The following is a 23,469-nucleotide window of genomic DNA, read 5'->3' as shown; positions in this document are numbered from 1 at the left end:
AAGGTGGATTCCACTGATGGATATTTGAGTACTGAACCATCCTTGCCTTCTGAGAATAAACCCCACTGGGTGGTGGTGTATTTCATATAATGCTGGACTTTATTTACGGATATTTTGCTGAGGACTTCTGTGTTTGTGTTTATGTAGGAATCTGGTCTGTAGTTTTCCTTTTTGGTACAGTCTTTTTCTAGTTTTGAGGCAATGCTCATATAATGTGTCATGAAGTAGTCTTTAATCTTTTATTTTCTGGGTAACAATCAATGTTATTTCTTCTTTCAATGTTTGGTAGAATTAGCCAGTGAAACCATGTGGGACTGGATATTTATTTTTTGAAAACAAATAGAAAACTATGCATTAAACGTGTTTAATAGTTATAGGAGTATTCAAGTTATTTATTTAATCTTGGATGAATTTTGGTAGTTTGTGTCCAAGAAATTCATTCATTTTGTCTAAGATGTAGAATTTAGGTGCACAGAATTGTTCATAGTATTCCTTTCAATCATTATTGACACCTGTGAGGTATTCTTTTCTCTTTGTTAGTTTGCTAAAGCTTCATCAATTTTATCGATCTTTTTAAAGAGCCATATTTTGGTTTTATTGATTTTTCTCTTTGGTTTTTCTGATTTCAATGTCATTGATTTCTGTTCTTGTCTTTATTATTTCCTTCCTTCTGTTTACTTTGGATTTATTTTGCTCTTCCTTTTCTAGTTTCTTAAGAATAAAAGCTTAGCTTATTGATTTGAGACGTTTCTTCTTTATAATAGCATTTAATACTATAAATTTCCCTCTAAGCCCTGCTGTAGCTGCTTTTCATACATTTTGACATGTTGTATTTTCATTTATGTTTAGTTCAAAATGTTTTGAAGTTTCTCTTGAGACTTTGAGTCATACATTATTTCAAAGTGTGGTGTTTAACTTCCAAGCGCTTGAATATTTTTCTCTGATTTTTCTGTTATTAATTTGTAGTTTAATTGCATTATAGGACATATTTTGTATAATTTAAATTCCCTTAACTTTGTTAATGTTTGTTTTATGACATAATATAGTCTGTCTTGCTGAATACTCCATGTGCACTTGAAAAATATGTTTTATGCTTTTTTGGGTAGAATGCTCTTTTTTTTTTTTTTTGAGGCAGGGTCTCACTCTGTTGAAGTTATGTGATCATAGCTCACTGCAGCCTCAAACTCTTGGGCTCAAGAGATCCACCCTCCTCAGCCCCCCAAAGTGCTGGGATTGCAGGCAAGAGCCACCACCCCTGGTTGGCAGAATGTTCTAAATGTCTCATAGATCCAGATGATAATAGTATTGTTAGGTTCTTCTCTATCCTTGATGATTTTCTATTAGTTCTGTTATTGAGGGAGGAGTGTTGAAGTTTCCAACTATTAACTATGGATTTATCTATTTCTTTTTTCAGTTCTGTCAGTCTGTAAGCTTTATGTCTTTGGAAGCTCTGCTCTTAGGTGATACACATTTGGGGTTTTTGTAGTGTCCGTAGTGAATTGATTCTTTTTTTCTTTTTTTTTTTTTTTGAGATGGAGTCTCGCTCTGTCGCCCAGGCTGGAGTGCAGTGGCGCCATCTCGGCTCACTGCAACCTCTGCCTTCCGGGTTCAAGCGATTCTCCTCCTCAGCCTCCTGAGTAGCTGGGATTACAGGTGGGCATGACCATGCCTGGCTAATTTTTGTATTTTTACTAGAGACGGGGTTTTACCATGTTGGTCAGGCTGGTCTCAATCTCTTGACCTCATGATCCACCTGCCTCGGCCTCCCAAAGTGCTGGGATTATAGGCATGAACCACCACGCCTGGCCTGATCCTTTTTAGCAGAATGTAATGCCCCTTTTTATGCTGGAGCTTTTCTTTGCTCCAAAGTTGACTTTGTCTGAAATTAATGTAGCTACTCAACACACAGCGAGTTTTTAATTTTAGTAATTACATTTTTCATTTCTAGAAATTCTGCCTTTTTTCAAAACTTGTTGGTCATTTTTTATGGATCCCTCGATCATGTTTTAAGTTTCACTTTTATTTCTTTAAACATATTAAACATATTTATATTATTTTTTATGTTTGATAATTTCAATTTTGAACTCTTTGTGGGTTTGATTTTGCTGTCTCTTACTTCTGCTAGATTTATTCTAATGTGTTGCAATTTTTGTCTGTGAGCTACTAATTTTCCATAAAGCTCTATCTATAGGAAGTTTTCGGGGCTAGGTTTGAAGTGGCATCTACTTTCGTTGCTCCCAACAGCTCTGAGTAGGTGGATATCACTTCCATTTTACAGATAAGAAAACTGAAACTCAGAAAGGCTGAGTGACTTGCCCAAGCTTCACTTTGACTCAGGGTGGCGTGGCGCACGCCTGAGCTGCAATCCTGTGGCACACAGATCACCTGGAGTTGAATGATAAATGCAATAAATCACACCCTGGTGCTCCTGGAAGCCCCACTGTGTGCAGCACCGTTCTCTCAGTTGCACAGTCTTTTCTTCCATGCTTCTTTCTCAGGGTGGCTCCATTCTTGGTTGTAGGCTGGTGAGGATGCTCCCGGGTGCGCCTGAGCCTTGCCAGATGCGCTATGAAACTGAGTCAACTTTTGGAGAGGATGGTGACAATAATGAGAAAGTAGTCACCACACACGACTCTGCCATCGTCTTCTTGCACTCCACCTCTCCCTCCTCGATGGTACCCAGATGCCATGACTCAGCGTGCAAGACCTGGTGTTCTGAGAAGCACCCGGGAGTGCAGGAGAGGTTAGCATCTCACAGATACACTTTTAAAAAACGTCGGTGAGATTCGTTTAACATCGATTAATCATTTTCAAGTGAACAACTCGGTGGTATTTAGTACATTAATGAGTTGTGCAACCACCACCTCCCTCAAGATCTAAAACATTGTCCTCACCCCAAACGCCCTGGAGCCATTGAGGAGTTGCTCCTCATCCTCTGCCACCCTCTACCATGGGGTAAACTTTTAACAGTGGGAGAGGAGTGACAGGCAGCCAGGCTGACAAACCCCCTCCTCCTTACTCTCTGTGGGCCACTTGGAGGTGCGGCTCCTGCTGGGACAGCTGGGGTGCTTCTGCCCAGGACCCCTCTGGTTCCCTCGTGTCGTCGTGCCTGTGCCTTCTTCATGGCCCTCTTCCTCACTCCCCCGCCTTGGCTGACCCCTCCCTCAGCCAGGGTCGGCACCAACGTCCTGGCCTCAGGCTCCGCGTCCTAGAGCAGAGCTTCTCAAAGCATGCGGTGCAGGGGAGATCAGGGGATCTTATCACAATGCACATTCTGGCTTACTGGGTCCAAGTGGGCCAGTCTAACAAGCTTCCACGTGACGTCAATGTGGCTGGTCGCTTGACCACGTTTTGAGTGGCCCAGCTCCAGAGGCCCCTGACTAAGACAAGTGTCAGCTGTGCTGGTGGAGCACAGGACACTGCCCCGTGGAACAGTGCCCGAGGCTGAGTGGCGGGCACTGTGCCTGTCTTCCAGAGGATGGCATTGGGGCTTGTGTGAGTGTCCTGGGCTGCTGAAACAAGGTTCCACACACAGCAGGGCTGAAAGCAACAGAGTTTCCTTCTCTCACAGTTGTGGAAGCCAGAAGTCCAAAATCAAGGTGTCGGCCAGGTTGGTTCCTCCTGGAGGCTCTCTGAGGGGCTACGGGAGGCTGTGGGCAGTCTTCAGTGTTCATCCCCCCAATCTCCTCCTCTGTCTTCACTGGCCTTCTTCCCTCGGTGTGTCCATGTGCCCCCGAATCTCCCTCTCCTTGGAACAATGCTAGGCCTTTTACCTGGGGCCCACCCGAACCCAGAACGACCTCATCTTCACTTGATTACATCTGTCAAGACCTTATGTCCAAAGAAGGGTGCATTCACAGGCTCGGGGGTTAGGATGTGGACGTAACTTTTTATGGGGACACAATCCAACCTCATACAAGGCCCAAGGGAATGCTGCCAGCTAAGAGTGGGTGCCGGGCTGCAAACATCACAGTTGCCCCTTTCTTCCTGCCCACTGCTGCTCCCGGTGACGGTGACGCAGGACCTGCCTCGAGGGCTGGAGGCTCAGGAGAGGAGGGGCTGGAGGCTTAGGAGAGGAGACAGAAACTGCCTTCATCAGAGGCTTTGACACAAGGGCATACTGACCCCTCCCCTGAAGGACCTGCTCACTTTGGGCACAGTGGGGTACTCCTAGTCATCCTTCAAAACCCAGCTCAGAAGTCCCCTTCCCTGAATGTTGAATCTAGGCAGGTTTCCTCTCAGTTTCTGCTGTGACCACAGAGCATTTTTTTTTTTTTTTTGAGACGGAGTCTTGCTCTGTCGCCCAGGCTGGAGTGCAATGGCACGATCTTGGCTCACTGCAAGCTCCACCTCCCAGGTTCATGCCATTCTCCCGCCTCAGCCTCCCAAGTAGCTGGGAATACAGGCGCCCACCACCATGCCCGGCTAGTTTTGTTTTTGTATTTTTAGTACAGACGGGGTTTCACCGTGTTAGCCAGGATGGTCTCAATCTCCTGACCTCATGATCCGCCTGCCTCCGCCTCCCAAAGTGCTGGGATTACAGGCGTGAGCCACTGTGCCCAGCCGACCACAGAGCATTTTATCTTCCGCTTGATTACTCTCCCATCAGCCAACAGCAACAGCACGGCCACCTGGCAGGTGCTCAGACCCCAAACCTCGTAGTTGTCCATGGTGTTGCTCTTTTGGTCCCATCCTGCAGCTCAGCGATGTCCGTCAGCATGACTGAGACCTACGTCCAGAACCCCGCATCGCCCCCGCTTCAGCCTCGCTCTGTGGTGCTGCTGGCCTCTCCGTGGCTGCTCTTCCTCCTCCCCGCTTGCCCCTCACCTGGCTCTCCCCATCTTGGCCAGGGCAGGCCTGGCACAGACTCTGTCCAGGCCACTTCTCTTTTAAGGCTCCCCCAAGCCCACAGTTCAACTCCCACGTCCTTAGCATGCTCGGGAAAGATGCCCTGCTCTGGGACTTGGCAGTGGCCGCCCTGCCTGCTTCTCCTCCTCCTTCAGTCCCTGCCCAGCCACCACTCTGCCTCCTTGCTAGGCCTTGGGAAATCGGGCACACTTCTCATTCAAGCCCATGGCACTGACTGCTTTCTGTACCCGGAGCAGTCCTCCCCTGGGGAGTCCCACTACCTCCCTGCAGTTGTAAGCTCCTCACAGCGGCCTTCCTGGGCTGCCCTGCAGACAACGGTGTCCCCATCACCCTGGAGCCTTTGCCCCTGCTTCATTCTCTCCATAGAGCTGTGCTCCACCGGGCGTTCTGTTACCTGCGGACTATGGCTTTCAAATCCATCTCCCTTACCGGAAATGCAAGGTACGTGATGGCAGAGACTAGAACAGTGCCTGCTCCTGCAACATGCTTGTGCTGGGCTGGAAGGTGACCCCACAGAGTCCATGGCCTTTTAGGACCTCAGGGTTCTCCCATGGAAATAGGGTGGGTGCAGACAGAAGAAGATGTAATAAGCTAGCACGAGGTCAGAATGGAGTGGGGTGGGCCCTAAATCCAATGGGTCCTTTGAAGAAGAAGGACATTTGATTACAGGGACGCAGACAGGAGGAGGCCACGTGACTATTGAAGGTGAGACTATTGGGCCATGAGCCAAGCAATGCCAAGGGTGCCACCAACCACCAGAAGCCAGACAAGGCAAGGTAGGATCCTCCCTGGAGCCTTCAGAGACAGTGTGGCTGTGTTAGTCCATTTTCTGTTGTTATAAGTAATTACCTGCGTGATTTATGAAGAAAAGATATTTATTTCTCATAGTTCTGGAGGCTGGGAGGTCCCAGGTTGAGGGGTGCCTCTGATGTGGGGCTTCTTGCTGGCAGGGACTCTCTGCAGAGTCCCGAGGGGCACAGGGCCTCAGATGCCCGGGGGCTCATGAGATATGGCTGAAGTGAGTTTCATCATAGACCCACTCTCGTGATAACTACCCCATTCCCTCCATAAGCCATGAATCCATTATCCCCTGAATGGATTAATCCACTCACGAGGGCAGGATCCTCATGGCCCAGCAACTTCCTGAAGGTCCCACCTCTCAAGACGGCTGCACTGGGAACCATGTTTCCAACACATGAACTTTTGGGGGACACAGTTAAGCCATACTGCATTGTCCCTGCTGACATTTTGATTCTGGATGGCTGGCCTCTGAAACTCTGAGGGAGTAAATGTCTATTGTTTTAAGACACCCAGTTTGTGGGACTTTGTCATAGCAACTACAGGGGATGAAAGCAAGTCTTACATGTCCCAACACATATTCATGGAATGAATGAACCGATGGATGGGTGGCGGGGGATGGACAAGGCAGCGCATTCTACTTCTCTCAGGGGTTTGCCATGACCAGGTGGGTGGGTCCCCCTACCCGTAAGTCACGCAAGCCCGTGAGCTGTGTCTTCTTTGTCTGGGCGTCTCTGCCACACAGTAGACCCTTAGCACACAACTGCGGCATGGACGCCTGTGGAAATCTGGCCGCGCAGTGCTAGTGACCACGTGGCACAGAATGTGGCAGAAGTTGTGCCCCGAGCCCAGAGGTATGGTGCGAAGGAGCATGGAAAGCTGTTTAGACCCTCTGAGGCCACCCAGGCAGCCGGAAAAGCTGAGGCTCTGGGAAGGAAAGTTCTGAGCAAAGATACGCAGGGCCCTGCCAGCAGCCCGAGGAGTGCAGACTGCAGAGTGTGGACTGCGGCAGTGAGGACTGCGGAGTGTGGAATGCAGAGTGCAGACTGCGGAGTGCGGACTGCAGAGTGTGGGGTATGGACTGTGGAGTGAGGAGTGCGGACAGTAGGGTGCGGAGTGCGGAGTGCAGAGCAGAGTGTGGGGTGCGGGCTGGGGACTGCGGAGTGCAGACTATGGCCTGCGGAGTGCGGAGCGCAGAGCGCCAAGTGCAGGGTGCGGAGCGTCGCCTTTGCCCCAGAAATGGGACCAAGGCAACACTTTGTCTCCCGCCTGCAGATGCTGGCAGAGAATTTCCTGGAAGCCACTGTGATATTTCGGAGTGCCCTCGGGGCCTTCATGGAACTCTCATGACAATACGAAGCAGCCCCACTCACGCAATGATCTCACTGTTGCCGGTGGAGTTTTTTTCGTGGTTAATCAAAATCAAAAGGCTTCTAGTCCGGAGAGTCATTGAATCATCCAAAATATTTCTTAACAAGTCCCCCAGGAGCCATCGCCCACCTCACCTCCCCCCGTCCCCCGCCCCGTGTTCCCCCCACCTCATTTTCCCAGTAGATGCTGTTGAAGTTTTAGAACCAGAGAATCAGGTAATCAATTCCCATAGAATCACTTGGGAAAAAAATCCCCTCTCCCCAGGTGAACTCGATTCCTAGATGTTCAAGGGCAGAGAAACACTCTTGGAAAGCAGCCAGGCCTTGTGGGTTGCAAGCATGTGGCCCATAGTTGTTTAAAGCCATCCCCTGCCCTCTTGGAAAGAATGGGCCATGCCCAGGGATGGGATTAGTCAAACATCTTCTTGAATGTTTTGGGTTCAGCAACACCCCACATGGATTTGCCAAGTGATTTCTCATGTAATTATTAACCCCGAGTGTATTCCAAGGGAAATGCAGCCTCGTGTTTCTGATTCACCCAGACTTCATTCAGCAGTATGTGTCACAAGCACTCGCTGGTGTCTGAGATGTCATTGTGACCTCCTAAGAGGCTTTCCTTGACCCCCTCCCCACTGCCCATCATAAGCAGGAGGCTGATTTGTGCCAACTTCCTGTGAACCTGAATACTACCGGGACCCAGCTCAGCTTGAAATTCAAAACCCTGGAATTTCGAGAGGGTTCTCATGGTGTCCAAACATCCTCACCCTGGCAGTGGAAACCAGTCTCCACTGCAGACTGATAACTGAAAGGAAAAGCCCAGAGCGAGAGCCCAGTGGCACCAGGTCCTCACACTGGCACCAGGTCCTCACAGTGGCATGAGGTCCTCACAGTGGCACCAGGTTCTCAGGCCTCCAGAGGCCAGGCTGGCTTCCAGGAGCAGATGCAAGTGCCAGATCTCGTAGCCTGGCTTCCTTTAGGTTCCTGTTCTTGGAGCATTGCTCTGAGGCTGAGATTGAAAAAAACCAATCATGATCCCAGCTGTCCTCTGCTCTGAGGCCTGAGCTGACCCTCAGGGTTGCCCCCAGCTCCTTCTTCAGACTGGACTGGTCCCATGCCTTCCTGGGGGGCTGGAGATGCAGCCTCCCTTCCTACAGCTGTTGGTACTTCTGATGCCATGTATTAGCCAGATCACCAGACCTCTGGAGATGTGGGACCCCCATTCATCTTGTCCCTGCTCCCCATGTACTCCACCGAGAGTCCCGGTTGCCTCTCTGGGGCTCAGTTTCCTCACTTGTCTCAGGTCCAGTGAGATGTGATTGTTCCATGAATCTAAAAGTAGAACGTTCTGGTCCAAGTCGAGGCCCTGGCAAAGCTGCCTTTCCTATCTCTAATTATGTGGCTCCATGACTCACTCATCATAAACCCAAGTCCTCAAGAAATGTCTTAAGGAGGTGGAGGGTTCTCAGAATGAACCTGCCGCCTGAGCCCCCGGCCCATTGTTACATGCACCGGCGCCAGGTACCTTATTCCCACCGTAGTGGGAGCAAGTTCGATGCTAAGAATAAGAGCTAGAGCGACGCTTTGCCTCCGGGGTTTCAGTGGGGGCTGGGGTGTGGAACCAGGGCAGGGATTGGCTTGGGGGCTTGAGCTGCTCTGGTGGGTGGTGTCCTGGGACGCTCTTCTCCTCTCCCACGGAGGCCCTGGGATTGCTGTCTCAGTCTGTGGTGGGTTGGTGGGGGCAGGGGCGGGCAGAGAAAAGGTTTTCAAGACCCTGAACCATCACCAAGCCCAGCAACCGGCCATTGTCCCTTTAGGGGTGCAGAAGGTGGTCCTGTGTGCAGTGGCACCAGCATTGTCAGCTCAGAGAAAGCAGCCATGACCCTGTGGAGTGTGGTTGAGTTGGGGGAAGTAAGGAGAAAGTGGAGGGACGGCCAGGGTAGGTGGGGTGGGTAAGAAGCGGGGATCGGGGTGGGGCCCGGCCCCGGAGACTTTTCTCCAGCAGAACACAGAACCATAGGAGCGGTATTTTTCCTACTTCCAGGCCAAATGGGCTTGCACGGGAAGCCTGCTCCAGTTCATGGGGAGGGGATGGTCTATGGGAACCAGAGAAGCCCGCCCTGCACCCAGCGGCCGCTTCCTGTAATGCGCTCTGCCCCCAGGGAATTCCCACGGAGCTGCCCAGGAGGAGCCGGGCCAGCGGGCAGCTGGGCCTTCCTGCCAGGCCAATGCCAGGGTGAGTTCCAGCGCCTGTGTCATTCTGCCGCCCAGGCTGGGCAGTGGCAGGCGCGTCCCTCTCCCAGGGTCTTTGTCCTTTCCCTGCCTTCCCAGGAGGGGCCAGGCCCTTGGAAAGGGGGAGGAAGACGAGGGAGAAAAGGGAGAGAAACTGGCTCCCAGCACTCAAAATAGCCATCTCCTTCTATGTGTTGATTTTCTGCTTTAAGCCAGGCTGGGGTGGAGGCCAGGAGTGGGGCCTGTGACGCTGATTTTCAATTCCTCCTGTGAGATTCCAGTCAGGTGGCACTCAAGCAGAGACTTCCTCCCTTCTGAGACAGGGAAGTGCCTCCGTGGAGGGGAGGGGCCTCAGTTCTGCAGAGGAGCCTGGGGTGCTGAGGGGGTGTGGGTGCCGAGATGGGTGGTAGAGGGGTGGCCCTGCAGATACAGGGTCTTACTCACATGCACTGCTGCAGCGTCCTCGCCCAGGGGGGCTTCGGGCCCTCAGGGGCAAATTCTGGCAAGTTTGTAAGTTTAATTTTTTCAGTGGATGAGGCATTCACGTGGTTACAAAACCTAAAAGTAGGCAATGAAGGGAAGCCACAGCTCCCTCGGTCCCCTGCGGCTGAGAGGCTGTGGGCACCGGCACACGCCGTCTTACCTCTCCCTTCTATATCCCGCTGTGGCAAATGCTGCCTCACTCTTGGGCACGCTGCTTCCTCATGCCACTGTCTAACCAGGTTTTTGGAGCCTTCCAGAATTCTGGGGCCTGAGAAGTCTCCTTTCCTTCCCATCTCTTTCCCTCTCCCTTCCCTTCCCTCTTCCTTCCCTTCCCTTCCCTTCCCTTCCCTCTTTCCTTCCTTCCTTCTGACTAACTGGCTGTGAGTGGCTTTGTTGAGTGGGTGCCTGACAGGAAAGAGAAAGTGACTTTTTGGAGGCCTCAAAGATGAAATCAGGGAATCCAGGGGCCTGCTGCTGGATCTGATGGTGGGGCCTGGTTGGGAAGGCTCGGTGCACTGTGGGCTGCAGGTGCTGGCACCAGGCAAGTCGGAGGCTGCCCCTCCCGTCCTTTCACTGCAGCTGGCCTGAAGCCCCTGGCTCGGTCCCCCGCCACGTTCTCAGCAGCGGGTGGCCTGTGAGCCAGGGCCCATCATCCCTGATGCTATTCCGCTTACTGGCGAAAGCAGAGGTCTGGGTTTTGGGTCCACCATAGCTCAGAGCCTCAGGTCCTCACCCAAGGCCTCAGTCCCCTAGCCTGGCCCACAGGCAGGAGTCTGGCTTGAAGCAGAGCCCTGACCAATCCACCTCCTCTGCCCACATTCTCTTGCTGGATGGCTGCCATCCACATGAGAGGGGCTGGGCATGTCCTGCCAGGGCTTCCTCCTGCCCACTCCAGCCCTGCTGCAGGCCCTGATCTCCAGGAGGAAAAGGCAGCCTGGGTACCTTTCCAACAGAGGCATTGCTTCCTTCCTCCCTCCGTCCCTCCCTCCCTCCCTCCCTTCCTTCCTTCCTTCCTTCCTTGAATTAACTGGCCCTGAGTGGCTCCACTGAGTGGGTGCCGGAGAGAGACAGCATTGACTATGACATGTCACTTGTCCTGGGGGAGGATGATTGGGGGTGGGGGACAGCTATGTCAACTGTCAGTGATCAAGACCCAGGACAATGTGAGAAACCAGCCAGGGGAGACTTGGGACAAGGTCAGGAGGGTTGGCGTTGGGGGCGAGTCCTAAAGAGTAACAGAAAGGACTTAATCAGACACAGTTGGGGTGTAGCCTCGGAGCTGCTCAGCTCATGGCCCCTCCCAGCAACCCTGCCTTGTGGCTGCTGGTCCCTGGGTCCCTGCTTTACAGCTGAGGACCCTCTGTGGTGGCTCAGCTGGAGGTGCCAGAGCCAGACTCTGCCTGCGTCCCCCAGCTTTGGTCAACTTGGGTCAGGTTCCCCAGCTGCAGAGTTGAGGCCCCCCAGTTCCAGCCCATCTCCTTTCTGCACGTGTCTTCATCAAGCCTTGACTTTGAGAACCACCGGCTGAAAGCAGCCCCTTTGCTCTCAATGCTCCCTAAGCAGTGGCCCTGCCGAGTCCCTGCTCTGCTGGGGTCAGGACCATCTAGACCAAGGAAGGAGGAAGTGACTTTTTGGTGGCCTCAAAGATGAAATCGGGGATCCAGGGATGCAGGAGGCCTTTCTTTAGAGGAGTGAGGGGCAGGAGGGAAGCAGATTTATGCCCTCGGAAATCAGCTCGGGAAGAAGACTGGTAGGGGCTGGGCACTGGGGGTTCTGGAGCCACATCCCCCAACATGGCCATCCTCTGGTTGGGATGGGTCAAGTGCTCCCATGACCCACACAGCACCGTTCAGAAGGCTCTGCAATCACACCGGGCACCCACTGGGTGCTGGGCCTGTGCCTCAAGCTCTGGAACATATGGGGGCCTTAGCAGCCCCACCATCTCCATCAATCCCCTCTACACAGCCCTCAAACATGAACAAAACATTCAGTGTGGACAATGTTCTGTAATGTTTGAAGAAAGCTTCCTCAGACAATCTCGATTTTTCCTATTGATTTGCACCATTCAGAAAGAAAAAAGTGTGACTTTCCGGTTATCAAGGCCTCTTGACTTAGGCGGCCACCCAAGGGGTACCCCTGCTTCTGGGGGCTCCGTGCTGTAGCGTTTTGAAGATAGAGCAAGGTGGGGCCTGCTCTTGTGTCCAGGCAAGGGATGCAATGTGACTCCAGCACACACACGGCGTTTCCCCAGTGGCCAGAGATATTTCAGAAGAAACACGGTGCCCCTTTACAGGCACCAGGTGACCCACGGGCCGTGTGTCCAGTCTGAGGCCCTGTGCTGGCATTTGGTGACATCCATATTTGAAGCCAAACTCATTTTCTCATGCATCCCCTCAGCCCCTCCAGCCGCGTGCCCTCCGTTGCCAGACATGCTTCTTCTCTCCACGTAGCCTGTGGGTCTCCCCTCCGTCAGCCCAGACCCAGTTCTGGCTCCTTCTCCAGGTGCCTGGCACATGCTGGCTTCCCACAGGGCACCACCTGGCTCCACTTTGCGTGTGGGTGTCTGGTCTTGTCCAGACTGGAGGCTGATGGAGTTCAGGGACTCTGCCTCTCCTTCTTACCTATCGATGAATCCCACAGTGCCCAGCAAGCTCCCTTTAATGTGCCAGATACTCAGGACAGCTTCCTAAATGTTAAAAGCAACATTTTTTTCTGCTTATTAAAAAAAGAATCCGCGCTCATTGTAAGCAAGTTGGAGAATACTCAAGGGTATAAAGAAGAGCAAGTCAAAATGATCCCATAACCTTCAGAAGACCCCTGCCTGGGAATAGTTCATTATTTTTTGGTATTTTTTTCTGTATTTACATATATGTATAATTATATAATTGTAGACACACATGTTATTTAAATATAATTAGCATCAAAGTAACCCGTGTTTACTAAAAGCTTCCGCACACTCGATTGGTGAAAATGGCGCCCACAGTATTTCCAGTGCATTTCTAAACAAGTGAAGGGAGGGGCCTGGGGAGTTGAGGCGTGCAGCACAGGTCCTGCTGGAGTCTGCCTATACCGGGCTCCAGGAGATGCCCGGGCAGAGGGAGGACACGTGCAGACATGGGCACAGGAACCAGCCCTTCATTCATTCACTGACTCAGTGCACCTGACCCACCTGGAGGCTGGAGGTCCAGGAACAAGGTGATGGCTGATTCAGTTCCTGGTGAGGGCTCCCTGCCTTGCCGGTGTGCAAGGCTGCGTCCGCTCTGTGTTCACATGGTGGGGGTGGAGAGACAGCTCGCAAGGACTCTCTTTCTGGTGTTGCTTCTCATAAGGGCACTAATTCCATCATAGGGCCCCACTCTCAGACCTTCCCTAACCATAGTCATCTCCCAAAGACCCTGTCTCCAAATACCTTCACTCTGGGGATGAGGATGTCCTCATAGGAGCATGGGAAAGACACAGTTCAGTCTATTCCAGGAGACATAGTTCAGTCCATCCCAGTTCAAGGAGACAGGGGGCAGGGCCCGAGGAGCTTCTCACAAGACTGGTGCTGCTGGTGGGGAATGAGCTCAGTGAGCAGACAGGATGCGGCTATGGCAGAGCCTGCAGGCAGGAGCTTCTGGAAAGAGGACTAGGGTGCTGGGGATGGATGGGGCATGATGGGCATGAGGGGAGGGAGGGGCCTGGGCCGAGGAGGGGGATGCTAGCTGGGCCAGGCAAGAAGTGGTCTGGGCAGGCGGGAACCCTGGGGCGAGTGTGGGGGGGCTCTGTAGAGCAGCGGGGCTGAGCAGCAGGAGGGCCGGATGCTGTGGAAGGGCATGGACTTTTCTTATGGGTGACAAGGGACTGTGGGATGCCACAAGCAGCTCCTTCACACTCTGGAACATTCTTGCATTGTTGTAGAGGGTGAAACAGAAGTGATTTTCATACTCTTAAAAAATATATTTTATGCCAGGCATGGTGGCTCCTGTCTGTAATCCCCAGCACTTTGGGAGGCTGATACGGGAGAATCACTTAGCCCCAGAGAAGTTCCAAGAACAGCCTGGGCATCATACATAGCGAGACTCGTTCTCTAAAAAATACAAAAAAATTAGCTGGGTGTGGTGGCACGTGCCTGTAGTCACAGCTACTTGGGAGGCTGTGATGGGAGGATCACTGGAGCCCAGGAACTCCAGGCTGTAGTGAACTATGATCATGCCACTGCTCCAGCCTGGGTGACAGTGTGAGACCCTGTCTCTGATAATAATCATAATATTTTATTAGTAGAGTCGTTTTTTCTTTTTCATTTCTTTTTAATTTAATGTTTTGTACGGACAAGTTTTCGCTATTTTGCCCAGGCTAGTCTTGAACTCCTGGCCTCAACCGATCCTCCTGCCTCAGCCTCCCAAAGCACTGGGATTACAGGCAAGAACCACCGCACCCGGCCCAAACATTTTCATTTTTTATATTTCAAGTACTTTGATTAATTATTGTGCAAGTTTCTTGTGCAAAGCTTAGAAGAAGAGGTCTTACAGAATTTTTGGCAGCACCTCTCTCATCTACATTTTGAAGGAAAAACAATTATTTCCTATTCTAGAGTTTGGGGTGAGCAGCATTTGTGTTTTATTTTATGTTTGTAGTAACAGTTCACCATTTCAACCATACATTCACATGGTTATACAATCATTACCACCATCATCTCTAGAACATTCTTGTCTTCCCAGACTTAAACTCTGCCCTCATTGAACACTCACTCCCCCTCCCATCCCCCAGCTCCTGACCCCACCACTCTCCCTTTACATCTCTGTGGATTTTTTTGTTGCTTGTTTGTTTGTTTGTTTGAGATGGAATTTCGCTCTTGTTACCCAGGCTGGAGTGCAATGGCATAATCTCGGTCACTGCAACTTCCACCTCCCGGGTTCAAGTGATTCTCCTGTCTCAGCCTCCTGAGTAGTTGGGATTACAGGCACACGCCACCATGCCTGGCTAATTTTTGGTATTTTTAGTAGAGATGGGGTTTCTCCATGTTGGCAAGGCTGGTCTCAAACTCCTGACCTCAGGTGATCCTACTGCCTTGGCCTCCCAACGTGCTGGGATTCCAGGTGTGAGCCACTGCGCCTGGCCACATCTCTGTGGGTGTGACGGCTCTAGGGAGCTCATGGAAGTGGGACCCCAGAGCATTCCTTCTTTTATGACGGGCTTATTTTGCTCACCACAATATCCTCAGGGTCCATCTGTGTTGTAGCCAGTGTCATTTTTCCAAAAAGCCCTACAGGCTGTCCTAAAGGAACAGTTATAAAGGGACTCGGGGGCCTGAGTCCCTCCCACGCAGCGACCCCACTCCTGCAGGTAGTTGCTGGTCACATTCACAGAACCCCAGGTCTCCAGAAAGCAGCCCACAGTCCGGCTGGATTAGAGGCTGGGCACGGCCAGGTGCACTGATGGGGCCGGGGCCAGGGCGGCACTCCCCGGGGTAACCCGAGCAGCTCTGATAAGCCTCCGGCACACCGGCTGCTGGCTGGTATCAGACCGGCATGTCCCTTGGGTCAGGTCACTGACGACTTGTGTTTGAACAGGGAGCCCGGGCCATAGCCATGGGTCTCATGGGAATGTCACTGAGTCTCAGAAAGACCCCATGAAAGGAGAGGCTTTGTTCCCATTCCAGGGTGGCCAGGACAGGGACACTGTGTATAAGGACTTCCTGATCTTATTCTCGCACCAGAGGAAACGGAGCTTTAGGGCTCAGAGACAGAACATGTTTGTCCAGGTGTGGCTCAGACATAGACAATGGGATGGGGTCCCCCTTCAGGAGGTGCAGCCCAGGAAGCTTGGCAGGGCCACAGCCTCATCTCTGGGGTTGGCCAGGGACTCCTGGACCAGACATCGGCTGGCGCCTGCCACCACCGCCCTGACTGCTGCCCGGCCCTGACAAGGGTGTGGGGAAGGCGGTGAGGGGTCCCAGCTCTCGCTGCTTTGGTCTCCCAGCCTCCGGAGCAGCCGGAAGGGGCTGAGTGGGGGTGGGTAGGACGAGGGCGGGGTTCTGACCAAGGAGAGGTACGTCAGCCTCAGAGAAACAGGGTTCCCTACCAGCTGTGGTCGCCAGCAAGCGTGGCTCCTGTGAAATCCGGGTTTAGAGCTTTTCTTGTTTTTGTTTTTGTTTCGACTTGATAGCCTTTATTTCTTAGAGAAGTTTTAGGTTTACAATAATATTGAGCAGAAAGTCCAGAGAATTCCCATATACCCCCCTGTACTCGTTCATTCTCACACGGCCTGGCCAGGCACCGTGGCTCACACCTGTAATCCCAGCACTTGCAGAGGCCGAGGTGGGCAGATCACCTGAGCCCAGGAGTTCAAGAGCAGCCTGGGGGCAACATCGAGAAACCCTCTCTCTACCAAAAATACAAAAAAATTAGCTGGGCATGGTGGTGCACGCCTGTAGTCCCAGCTACTCAGGTGGCTGGGGTGGGAGGATCACTTGAGCCTGGGGGGTGGAGGTTGCAGTGAGCTGTGATGGCACCACTGCACTCCAGCCTGGGCAACAGGGCAAGGCTCTGTCTCAAAAAAAAAAAATTTGGGAATTACAATTCAATATGAGATTTGTGGGGGACACAGATCCAAATCATATCACCCTCTCCCCCCCAGCACAATTCCCCCTGGTATTAACATCATGCATTAATGTGGCACATTTTTACAATTGATGAGCAGTGTTGATACATTATTATTAACTAAAGGCCGTAGTTTACATCGGGGTTCACTCTAATTTTCTATTGTAAATTCTCTCTCTCTCTTTTTTATTTTTTTTTTGAGACAAAAATCTCACTCTGTCACCCAGGTTGGAGTGCAGTGGCACGATCTTGGCTCACTGCAACCTGCCGGGTTCAAGCGATTCTCCTGCCTCGGCCTCCCAAGTAGCTGGGATTACAGGTGCCCACCACCATGTCTGGCTACTTTTTGTATTTTTAGTGTAGATGGGGTTTCACCATGTTGGCCAGACTGGTCTCAAACTCCTGACCTCAGGTGATCCACTGCCTCTGCCTCCCAAAGTGTTGGGATTACAGGCATGAGCCACCACACCTGGCCTTCTATTGTAAATTCTCTGGGTTTTACCAAATGTCTAATGCCCTGTATCCCCATTTTAACATCATACAAAGAGTTTCACTGCCCTAAAAATCTGTCTCCACCTGTTCACCCCTCTCTCCAAATTCCTGGCAACCACTGATTATTTTACTTTCTCTGTAGTTTTGTCCTTTCTAGAATGTCAAAGAGTTGGACTCATACGGTGTGTAGCCTTTTCAGATGGGCTTCTCTCACCTACTAATATCGTGGAAGTTTCCTCCATGTCTTTTCAGGCCTTGATAGCTCGTGTCTTTTTAGCGCTGAATAATATTGCACTGTCTGGATGCACCGCGGCTCAACCCTTCACCTACTGAAGGACTTGTGGGTTGCTTCCAAGTTTTGGTCATTATGAATAAGGCTGCTGTACACATCGGTGTGCAGGTTTTTGCGTGGACGTCTCAACTCCTTTGGATAAAGGCGAGGAGCATAATTGCTGCACTGCATATTCGGTTAGACTGTGATTAGCTTTCTAAAAAGTGGTTTTGTTAGATGTAAAAAATGAATATGACATTCTGAAACAGAAAAAAATAACTTACTCTTTATCTGCGTGGGATGAGATTAAACTGCGTCTTCTTCGTGGTTTGAACGCAAGAGCTCCCTGAACACCTGGCGCTGCCATTGGCGTGAACGAGGGGAAGCCCCTCCTGACAGCTGGATGGTAGGACAAAGCCCTCTAAGCCCCCTCTCCCCGTCACATCCCCCCGACCCTGCCCACAAGGGAACCTGGGGCACTGGGTGTTCACCTGCCTCCCACTAGGTGAGATCTTTCCTTTTTGGCTCCTCTATCCTAATCCTCACCCACAGCGTTCCCACGGTGGCCTTTGCAGCTAATATCCAGCGTCCAGAGAGTCCCTGGGCTTGGTTAGCGTTCCTCCCAAGGCTGACCCTGAGCTAAAGATGTAGGGACAGGGGAGGTGGTCCCAGGAAGCTCAGGTGAGACAGAGAGAAAAGCCCAAAGTGTGTCTTTTGATGAGCAGGTAACCTCAATGGGAACCCAGGGTCCATTCCACTGGAGACCCTTGGTCCTCCAGAAGGTGGAGAGGCTGGGACATGGGGTTCTCCCCGACGGCTTCCTCTCCTGGCTGCTGAGGGTCTCCTCTCAGGTGCTGAATAGAACAACTCTAGGGGTCTGGGCTGGAGAAACCCTAGGCAGAGGAGCAGAGAAGGCAGCTGCCCCAGGCAGGTGCAGACAGGCAGAGGGGACGCCCTGGCGCTGGTGCTGCCTCCTCTCATCTCCCGCAAGGGTCCCCTCACCTTCTTGCTCTGCCTGAAGCTTCCTGCACTGCAACTCACCCAGAGGTTCTGTTTCCCCTGGTGCTGGGGAGGGGGGAGGTGTCCTCTCACTCCTCACTTTCTTTCCAGAATGTTCTACTTCCCTCCTACCCAGGCTTTGAGCTGGGACCTTCAGACTCTGCCTTTTACTCTGGAGTCATCTACGAATCCCAGGTCGTCCCTCACTCCTGGAAGATTTTAACCCCGGATTCACGGTCGCTTCCCCACATCACTCCTGCCCAGTTCTTGAACATCCCTGTGGGTGGTCCCGGCCTCCCAGAGCCTTCACCTCCTCCTCTTCTCTCCTCCCCTCCCTTCTCGTTACCATCTCCCCATCTCAACTTCAAGCACCACCCCCAGCACCTCAACCCCCAGATCCCACCTCTCCTGTCCCTCTCATCCACACGGTCACTGCCCCGCACCCCTCACCTCTGCACTGGGATTTCCCTTCTCACGTCCTTCTGTGGCCTCTGTCTTCACGCTGCTGCACCTGGGCACAGAACTGTCACCTGAAATTCCCACCACCGACCGGCCAACTGACCTTGGCGTCCGAGGTCCCCTCTCCCCGACTTGGATTTCCCACCTTCTCTGCCCTCTGCCAGCCTCCAGGACTCTACCTGCTGCCCGTATGTGCTGTGCCCCCTCTCCTGGCTCAGGAGCCCCCTCCATGCTGGGCCCAGACCCTCACCAGCCCCAGCCTTGTCTCTTGGCTGGGTGATTCCATCAGCTGATAAACACGCCTTCACCTTAAAAATAAGTCAAACCTCCCTAGACACTGCTTCTCCTTCCGGCCACTACCCTACTCTGTTCCTCTTTCCAACAGCACTTCTGACCATGTGGGCACCCCTGGCTGCCCTCTCTCCTGCCTCTTGGGAGAAGCTGCACCTCACCCCAGGCCCCTCCCCCATGGCTCTCTTGTCGCCGGACCTAAGGGTCAGCCCTCAGGGCTGATTTGGCCTGGCCAGTGGGTCACTGTGGCCTCCTCACTCCCTTCATCTCCCTGACCCACCTTCGGAGGCTCCAGACCCGTGAGCCGCAGGGGGCCCCCACCCTCGGCCCTTCTTTCCCTCCTCCCCAGGTCAGCGTCTCTCTTCATTTCCATCACCTGCTATACCCTGAAGTCCCCGCTTTGTAATTCCAGCCTGACCTCCCTCCTGGACTCCAGACTCAGAGACCCAACCATCTAGGAGACCTCCTGGCAGCGTCCTGGGTTCAAAGCCACACAGGACAGCTCATCTCTCCATCTCCCCAGCTGACCCTGTGGCAGCCCTCTCCCCACTGACTTAGGCTCCAGCCTGGGGCATCCTGGGTGCTTCTTTCTGCTCGTTGTGTTCCACCCTCGGGTCTCCTGCAAGCTCTGTGCAGCGCCTCCTGCAGTGCGTCCTCAATAACACAGAGCGATGCCTTCAGATTCTTTAGAAAGTTGATTGGGTCATGAACTCCTTGGCTGTGGCTTCTGTCTCACCCAGAGTCGGTGCTGAGCTCTGAACACACCTGCCAGGCTCTGTGTCTCTGGTTCCCAGGCCTGTGTAACCTCATCTCTTTCCACCCCTCGCTCTGTTGCCCTGCCCCCACCCCCTCCCCCGAGGCCTCCTCCTCCTTCATGGACCCTTCCGGGCACACTCATGCCCTCTGCTTGGGGTGGGTTCCCTTCAGGTAGCCCCGTGGCTTGCTCTCCATTTCCTCCCAATCTCAGTTCTGACGTCCTCTTGGGCCGCAGGACCTTCCTTCCTGACCATTCTCTCTCAAGGGCAAAGCCTCCTTCTCACCCCATGCAAACATTTCCTAGCCCCTCCATTAGGCAGGTGAGCTGCTGCACCAAAGACCCTCCCCAAACATACGTTAACTCAACACAATACACATTTGTTCCTTATCCAGCCCACATGGGTGACCTTGACCAGTGAGCAGCTCGCCTCTGAGCAGCAACTCAAGGACCCAGGCATCTTCCATCTGTGGCTCCATTTCCCCAAGGTCCTGGAGTCCTCTCCTGGTTTCCCTACATTGGACAGCAGTCAGCAGAAGAGAGAAAGAATTGCACAGGGGAGGTCTCCATGGGCCGGGCCTGGACAGGAGGTGGATCACTGCACTTCTCTTCTGTTGGCTACAGGTGACTGCAGAAAGCAGGGAGACGGGGGCCGGCGGCACCCCCAGGAGACGGGTGGCACATGGCCCCACCTGCCTTAGCTTTCCCCCGGTGCCTGTGCCATGGGACTGATTAGGTATTGATGGAGCGTCTGTCAAGCCTCCCGACCCCCGCAGAAGATCAACTCCATGAGAGCCGGGCCCGTCTGTTCTGCTCACTGCTGTCTTCTCTGCCTGGAGCATCACTGGGCACAGTCAGACGTGTTGGAGCCAAGTCACAGGGTTGCTGGATGCTCAGTGAGTGGATTTGGCGCTTGGGTCCTGGTCCACACCCTGACAGAGCTTGGGTGTCAGGGCCCACCTACACCTTTTCACTATATTAACTTCACCATTAACACCATATATATATATATATATATATGGAGAGAGAGAGAAAGAGAGAGAGAGAGAGAGAGAGAGAGAGAGAGAGAGATGGAGTCTCACTCCGTCACCCAGGCTGGAGTGCAGTGGCATGATCTCGGTTCACTGCAACCTCCACCTCCCAGGTTCAAGTGATTCTCCTGCCTCCACCTCCTGAGTAGCTGGGACTACAGGCATGCACCACCACACCCGGCTAATTTTTGTATTTTTAGTAGAGATAGGGTTTCACCATGTTGGCCAGGATGGTCTCGAACTTTTGACTTCAGGTGATTCTCCCACCTTGGCCTCCCAAAGTGCTAGGATTACAGGCGTGAGCCACCGTACCCAGCCAACACAAAATATTTTTCATGTTTTGAGATCTCACCGTGCTTCGTGACAGCCGAGTTTGTAGCCACCTCCCAAATGCCCCCTGACTTCTCCAAAGCCGTCATCTCTCCAAACAGTATTTGGCTGGTACTAGGTCAGTTTCACTCCCCGCCCCTCCCCCACCCCACCCCTTTATACATAGCTCTGCGATCCACACATTAGCAGATTGTATAGTTGTTATTTTCTGTGGAATTATTTTCTTACGGCTTCTTAGGCATGGGATTATGAGGTCAAACAGTGTGGCACGGGTCTCCTTGGGCACCTGCGTGTCCTGTTCAAGGGCTGTAATGTTGGTTGGAAAAATAAACAAGAGAGGTGGTTGCTTTTCTCTCTGATGTCTATGCTTCAACCCTTATTTGAAACAAAAATGCTTTCCAATAATAACATTCAGTGAATTAATTATGTTTGAGACAGGGTCTCACTCTGTCACTCAGGCTGGAGTGCAGTGGTGCAATCATGGCTCACTGCAACCTCCACCTTTCAGGCTCAAGTGATCCCTCCCACCTCAGTCTCCTGAGCAGCAGGGACCACAGGTGTGCACCACCATGCATGGCTAATTTTTAAATTTTTTGTAGAGACAGGGTCGTGCTATGCTGCCCAGCCTTGATGATAACATTTAAAATAGTTGAGAGAAATGTGGAAAGTACAGAAAATGATTAAAAAGGCAAATAAATCCAGAATGCCACCACCCAGACATCACCACTACTTGCTGGCATTTTCCCTTCCAGATGTTGGTTTGGGTGTGTGTGCCTGCTTGTGTGTGCATGTGTGTACACATGCCTGTGTATGCACACTCTGTATGTCTATATATGCATGTGTACACACACATGCCCATGCATATAAATATATGTAAACATGCTTTTTTTTTTTGAGGTGGAGTCTCTCTCTGTTGCCCAGGCTGGAGTGCAGTGGCTCAATCTCTGCTCACTCCAAACTCCACCTAACGAGTTCAAACCATTCTCATGCCTCAGCCTCTTGAGTAGCTGGGATTACATGTACCTGCCATCATGCCTGGGTAATTTTTGTATTTTTGTAGAGATGGAGTTTCACCATGTTGGTCAGGCTAGTGTTGAAGCCTCAGCCTCCCAAAGTGCTGGGATTACGGGCGTGAGCCACCACACCCAGCCTACTATGTACATACAAGTTTATGTTGCTCAGAGCCAACAATTCAGTATCTGGATTTTTTCCCACTATCTATTTTTCATGGCATTAAAATCAATTCATAAATATTTTAAAGATTCTGTAAAATTCCATTATATGAATTTATTAACACAAGTGATTGTTCCTTTCTGTAGTGTTTTTAAAATAATAAAAACATTTAACAGGACGGCACGGCTCATGCCTGTAATCTCAGCACTTTGGGAGGCCGAGGCAGGCAGATAACGAGGTCAGGAGATCGAGACCATCCTGGCTAACATGGTGAAACCTCATCTGTACTAAAAATACAAAAAATTAGCCTGGCATGGTGGCACACGCCTGTAGTCCCAGCTATTCGGGAGGCTAAGGCAGAAGAATCATTTGAACCTGAGAGGTGGAGGTTGCAGTGAACTGAGATTGCGCCACTGCACTCCAGCCTGGGCGACAGAGCGAGACTCCCTCTCAAAAAAAACAAAAACAAAAACATTTAACAGCAATTATGGCTTATTTTTTCTGGTTACAATTTTCTGGACAACTTGGAAAATACTAAAAACTTTCAAAAAGAAATAAACATCACCCACAACAGAACTATCTGGGGGTGTTTTTATTTTATTTTATGTTCATTTTTATTTTTTTGTCGAGACAGGGTTTTACTCTCTCGCCCAGACTGGAGTGCAGTGGCACGATCATGGCTCCCTGCAGCCTCGAACTTCTGGGCTCAAACCATCTTCTCGCCTCAGCTGCGACTACAGGTGTACGCCACCATACCTGGCTCATTTTGGTATTTTTTGTGGAGGCGAGGTTTCATCGTGTTGCCCAGGCTCGTCTCAAACTCCCAGGTGCAGCGATCCACCCACCTTGGCCTTCCAAAGTGCTGGGTTAATAGGCGTAAGCCCCCACACCCTGCCAAGGGAGTGTTTTAAATTAAGAAAGGGGCACAGTGGCTGAGTCTTCCTTTCAAGAAAATCTGGGCTCCCGACAGCACACACATGTGCAGGGGCCCATTTCTAAGGACTGATGCCCAGGGCTCCCTTGAGCAACCCTCCTGGGGGGCCTGGGACACTCGGAGTCTCCTCTCCTTTGCTGGAGGTCAGGACACAGAGGCCTGACTCGCTCCAAAACTGGGGCCCTGCTCTGGTCCCGGCGTGTGCTCTGGGCCTCTTCCTTCCCACAGGGCATGTGCTTAGGACACTGTCTCCCTCCACTCTCCTGGGCTCATGCTGACCCCTCAGCTCTTCCCCTGTGCCCCTCCCGCTTTAACCCCACTCATTCCCAGGAGTTCTGGAAATCAGCAGCCCTACTGTGTGCACAGCTCGGCACCCCTGCCTGGCTGCCCCATAGCCTGGAGTGC

At 52.0% G+C, this 23,469-nt stretch overlaps 7 annotated features.

The window, feature by feature from the left end:
* Positions 10,022-10,166: an enhancer, noted in NCBI's record as "145 bp 11:69354185 sequence used in MPRA reporter constructs". NCBI's record gives its function as "activates a minimal TATA-containing promoter with rs72071802 allelic activity by MPRAs in UACC903 melanoma cells {active_cell/tissue: UACC903}" and the evidence as "EXISTENCE:reporter gene assay evidence [ECO:0000049][PMID:36423637]".
* Positions 10,096-10,099: a transcriptional cis regulatory region, noted in NCBI's record as "rs72071802 or 11:69354185 MPRA-significant variant associated with a GWAS melanoma risk locus at 11q13.3". NCBI's record gives its function as "allelic transcriptional activity by MPRAs in UACC903 melanoma cells {active_cell/tissue: UACC903}" and the evidence as "EXISTENCE:reporter gene assay evidence [ECO:0000049][PMID:36423637]".
* Positions 10,185-10,845: an enhancer, noted in NCBI's record as "H3K4me1 hESC enhancer chr11:69353440-69354100 (GRCh37/hg19 assembly coordinates)". NCBI's record gives its function as "activates a minimal SCP1, AML or CMV promoter by ChIP-STARR-seq in primed H9 embryonic stem cells {active_cell/tissue: H9 hESC(primed)}" and the evidence as "EXISTENCE:reporter gene assay evidence [ECO:0000049][PMID:30033119]".
* Positions 11,593-12,092: an enhancer, noted in NCBI's record as "H3K4me1 hESC enhancer chr11:69352193-69352692 (GRCh37/hg19 assembly coordinates)". NCBI's record gives its function as "activates a minimal SCP1, AML or CMV promoter by ChIP-STARR-seq in naive H9 embryonic stem cells {active_cell/tissue: H9 hESC(naive)}" and the evidence as "EXISTENCE:reporter gene assay evidence [ECO:0000049][PMID:30033119]".
* Positions 12,093-12,594: an enhancer, noted in NCBI's record as "H3K4me1 hESC enhancer chr11:69351691-69352192 (GRCh37/hg19 assembly coordinates)". NCBI's record gives its function as "activates a minimal SCP1, AML or CMV promoter by ChIP-STARR-seq in naive H9 embryonic stem cells {active_cell/tissue: H9 hESC(naive)}" and the evidence as "EXISTENCE:reporter gene assay evidence [ECO:0000049][PMID:30033119]".
* Positions 13,707-13,851: an enhancer, noted in NCBI's record as "145 bp 11:69350505 sequence used in MPRA reporter constructs". NCBI's record gives its function as "activates a minimal TATA-containing promoter with rs11322210 allelic activity by MPRAs in C283T melanocytes {active_cell/tissue: C283T}" and the evidence as "EXISTENCE:reporter gene assay evidence [ECO:0000049][PMID:36423637]".
* Positions 13,778-13,779: a transcriptional cis regulatory region, noted in NCBI's record as "rs11322210 or 11:69350505 MPRA-significant variant associated with a GWAS melanoma risk locus at 11q13.3". NCBI's record gives its function as "allelic transcriptional activity by MPRAs in C283T melanocytes {active_cell/tissue: C283T}" and the evidence as "EXISTENCE:reporter gene assay evidence [ECO:0000049][PMID:36423637]".

The sequence above is a fragment of the Homo sapiens genome, chromosome 11 (assembly GCF_000001405.40).
Source record: "Homo sapiens chromosome 11, GRCh38.p14 Primary Assembly".
NCBI lineage: Eukaryota > Metazoa > Chordata > Mammalia > Primates > Hominidae > Homo > Homo sapiens.
This window is presented reverse-complemented; position numbering and strand designations above follow the sequence as displayed.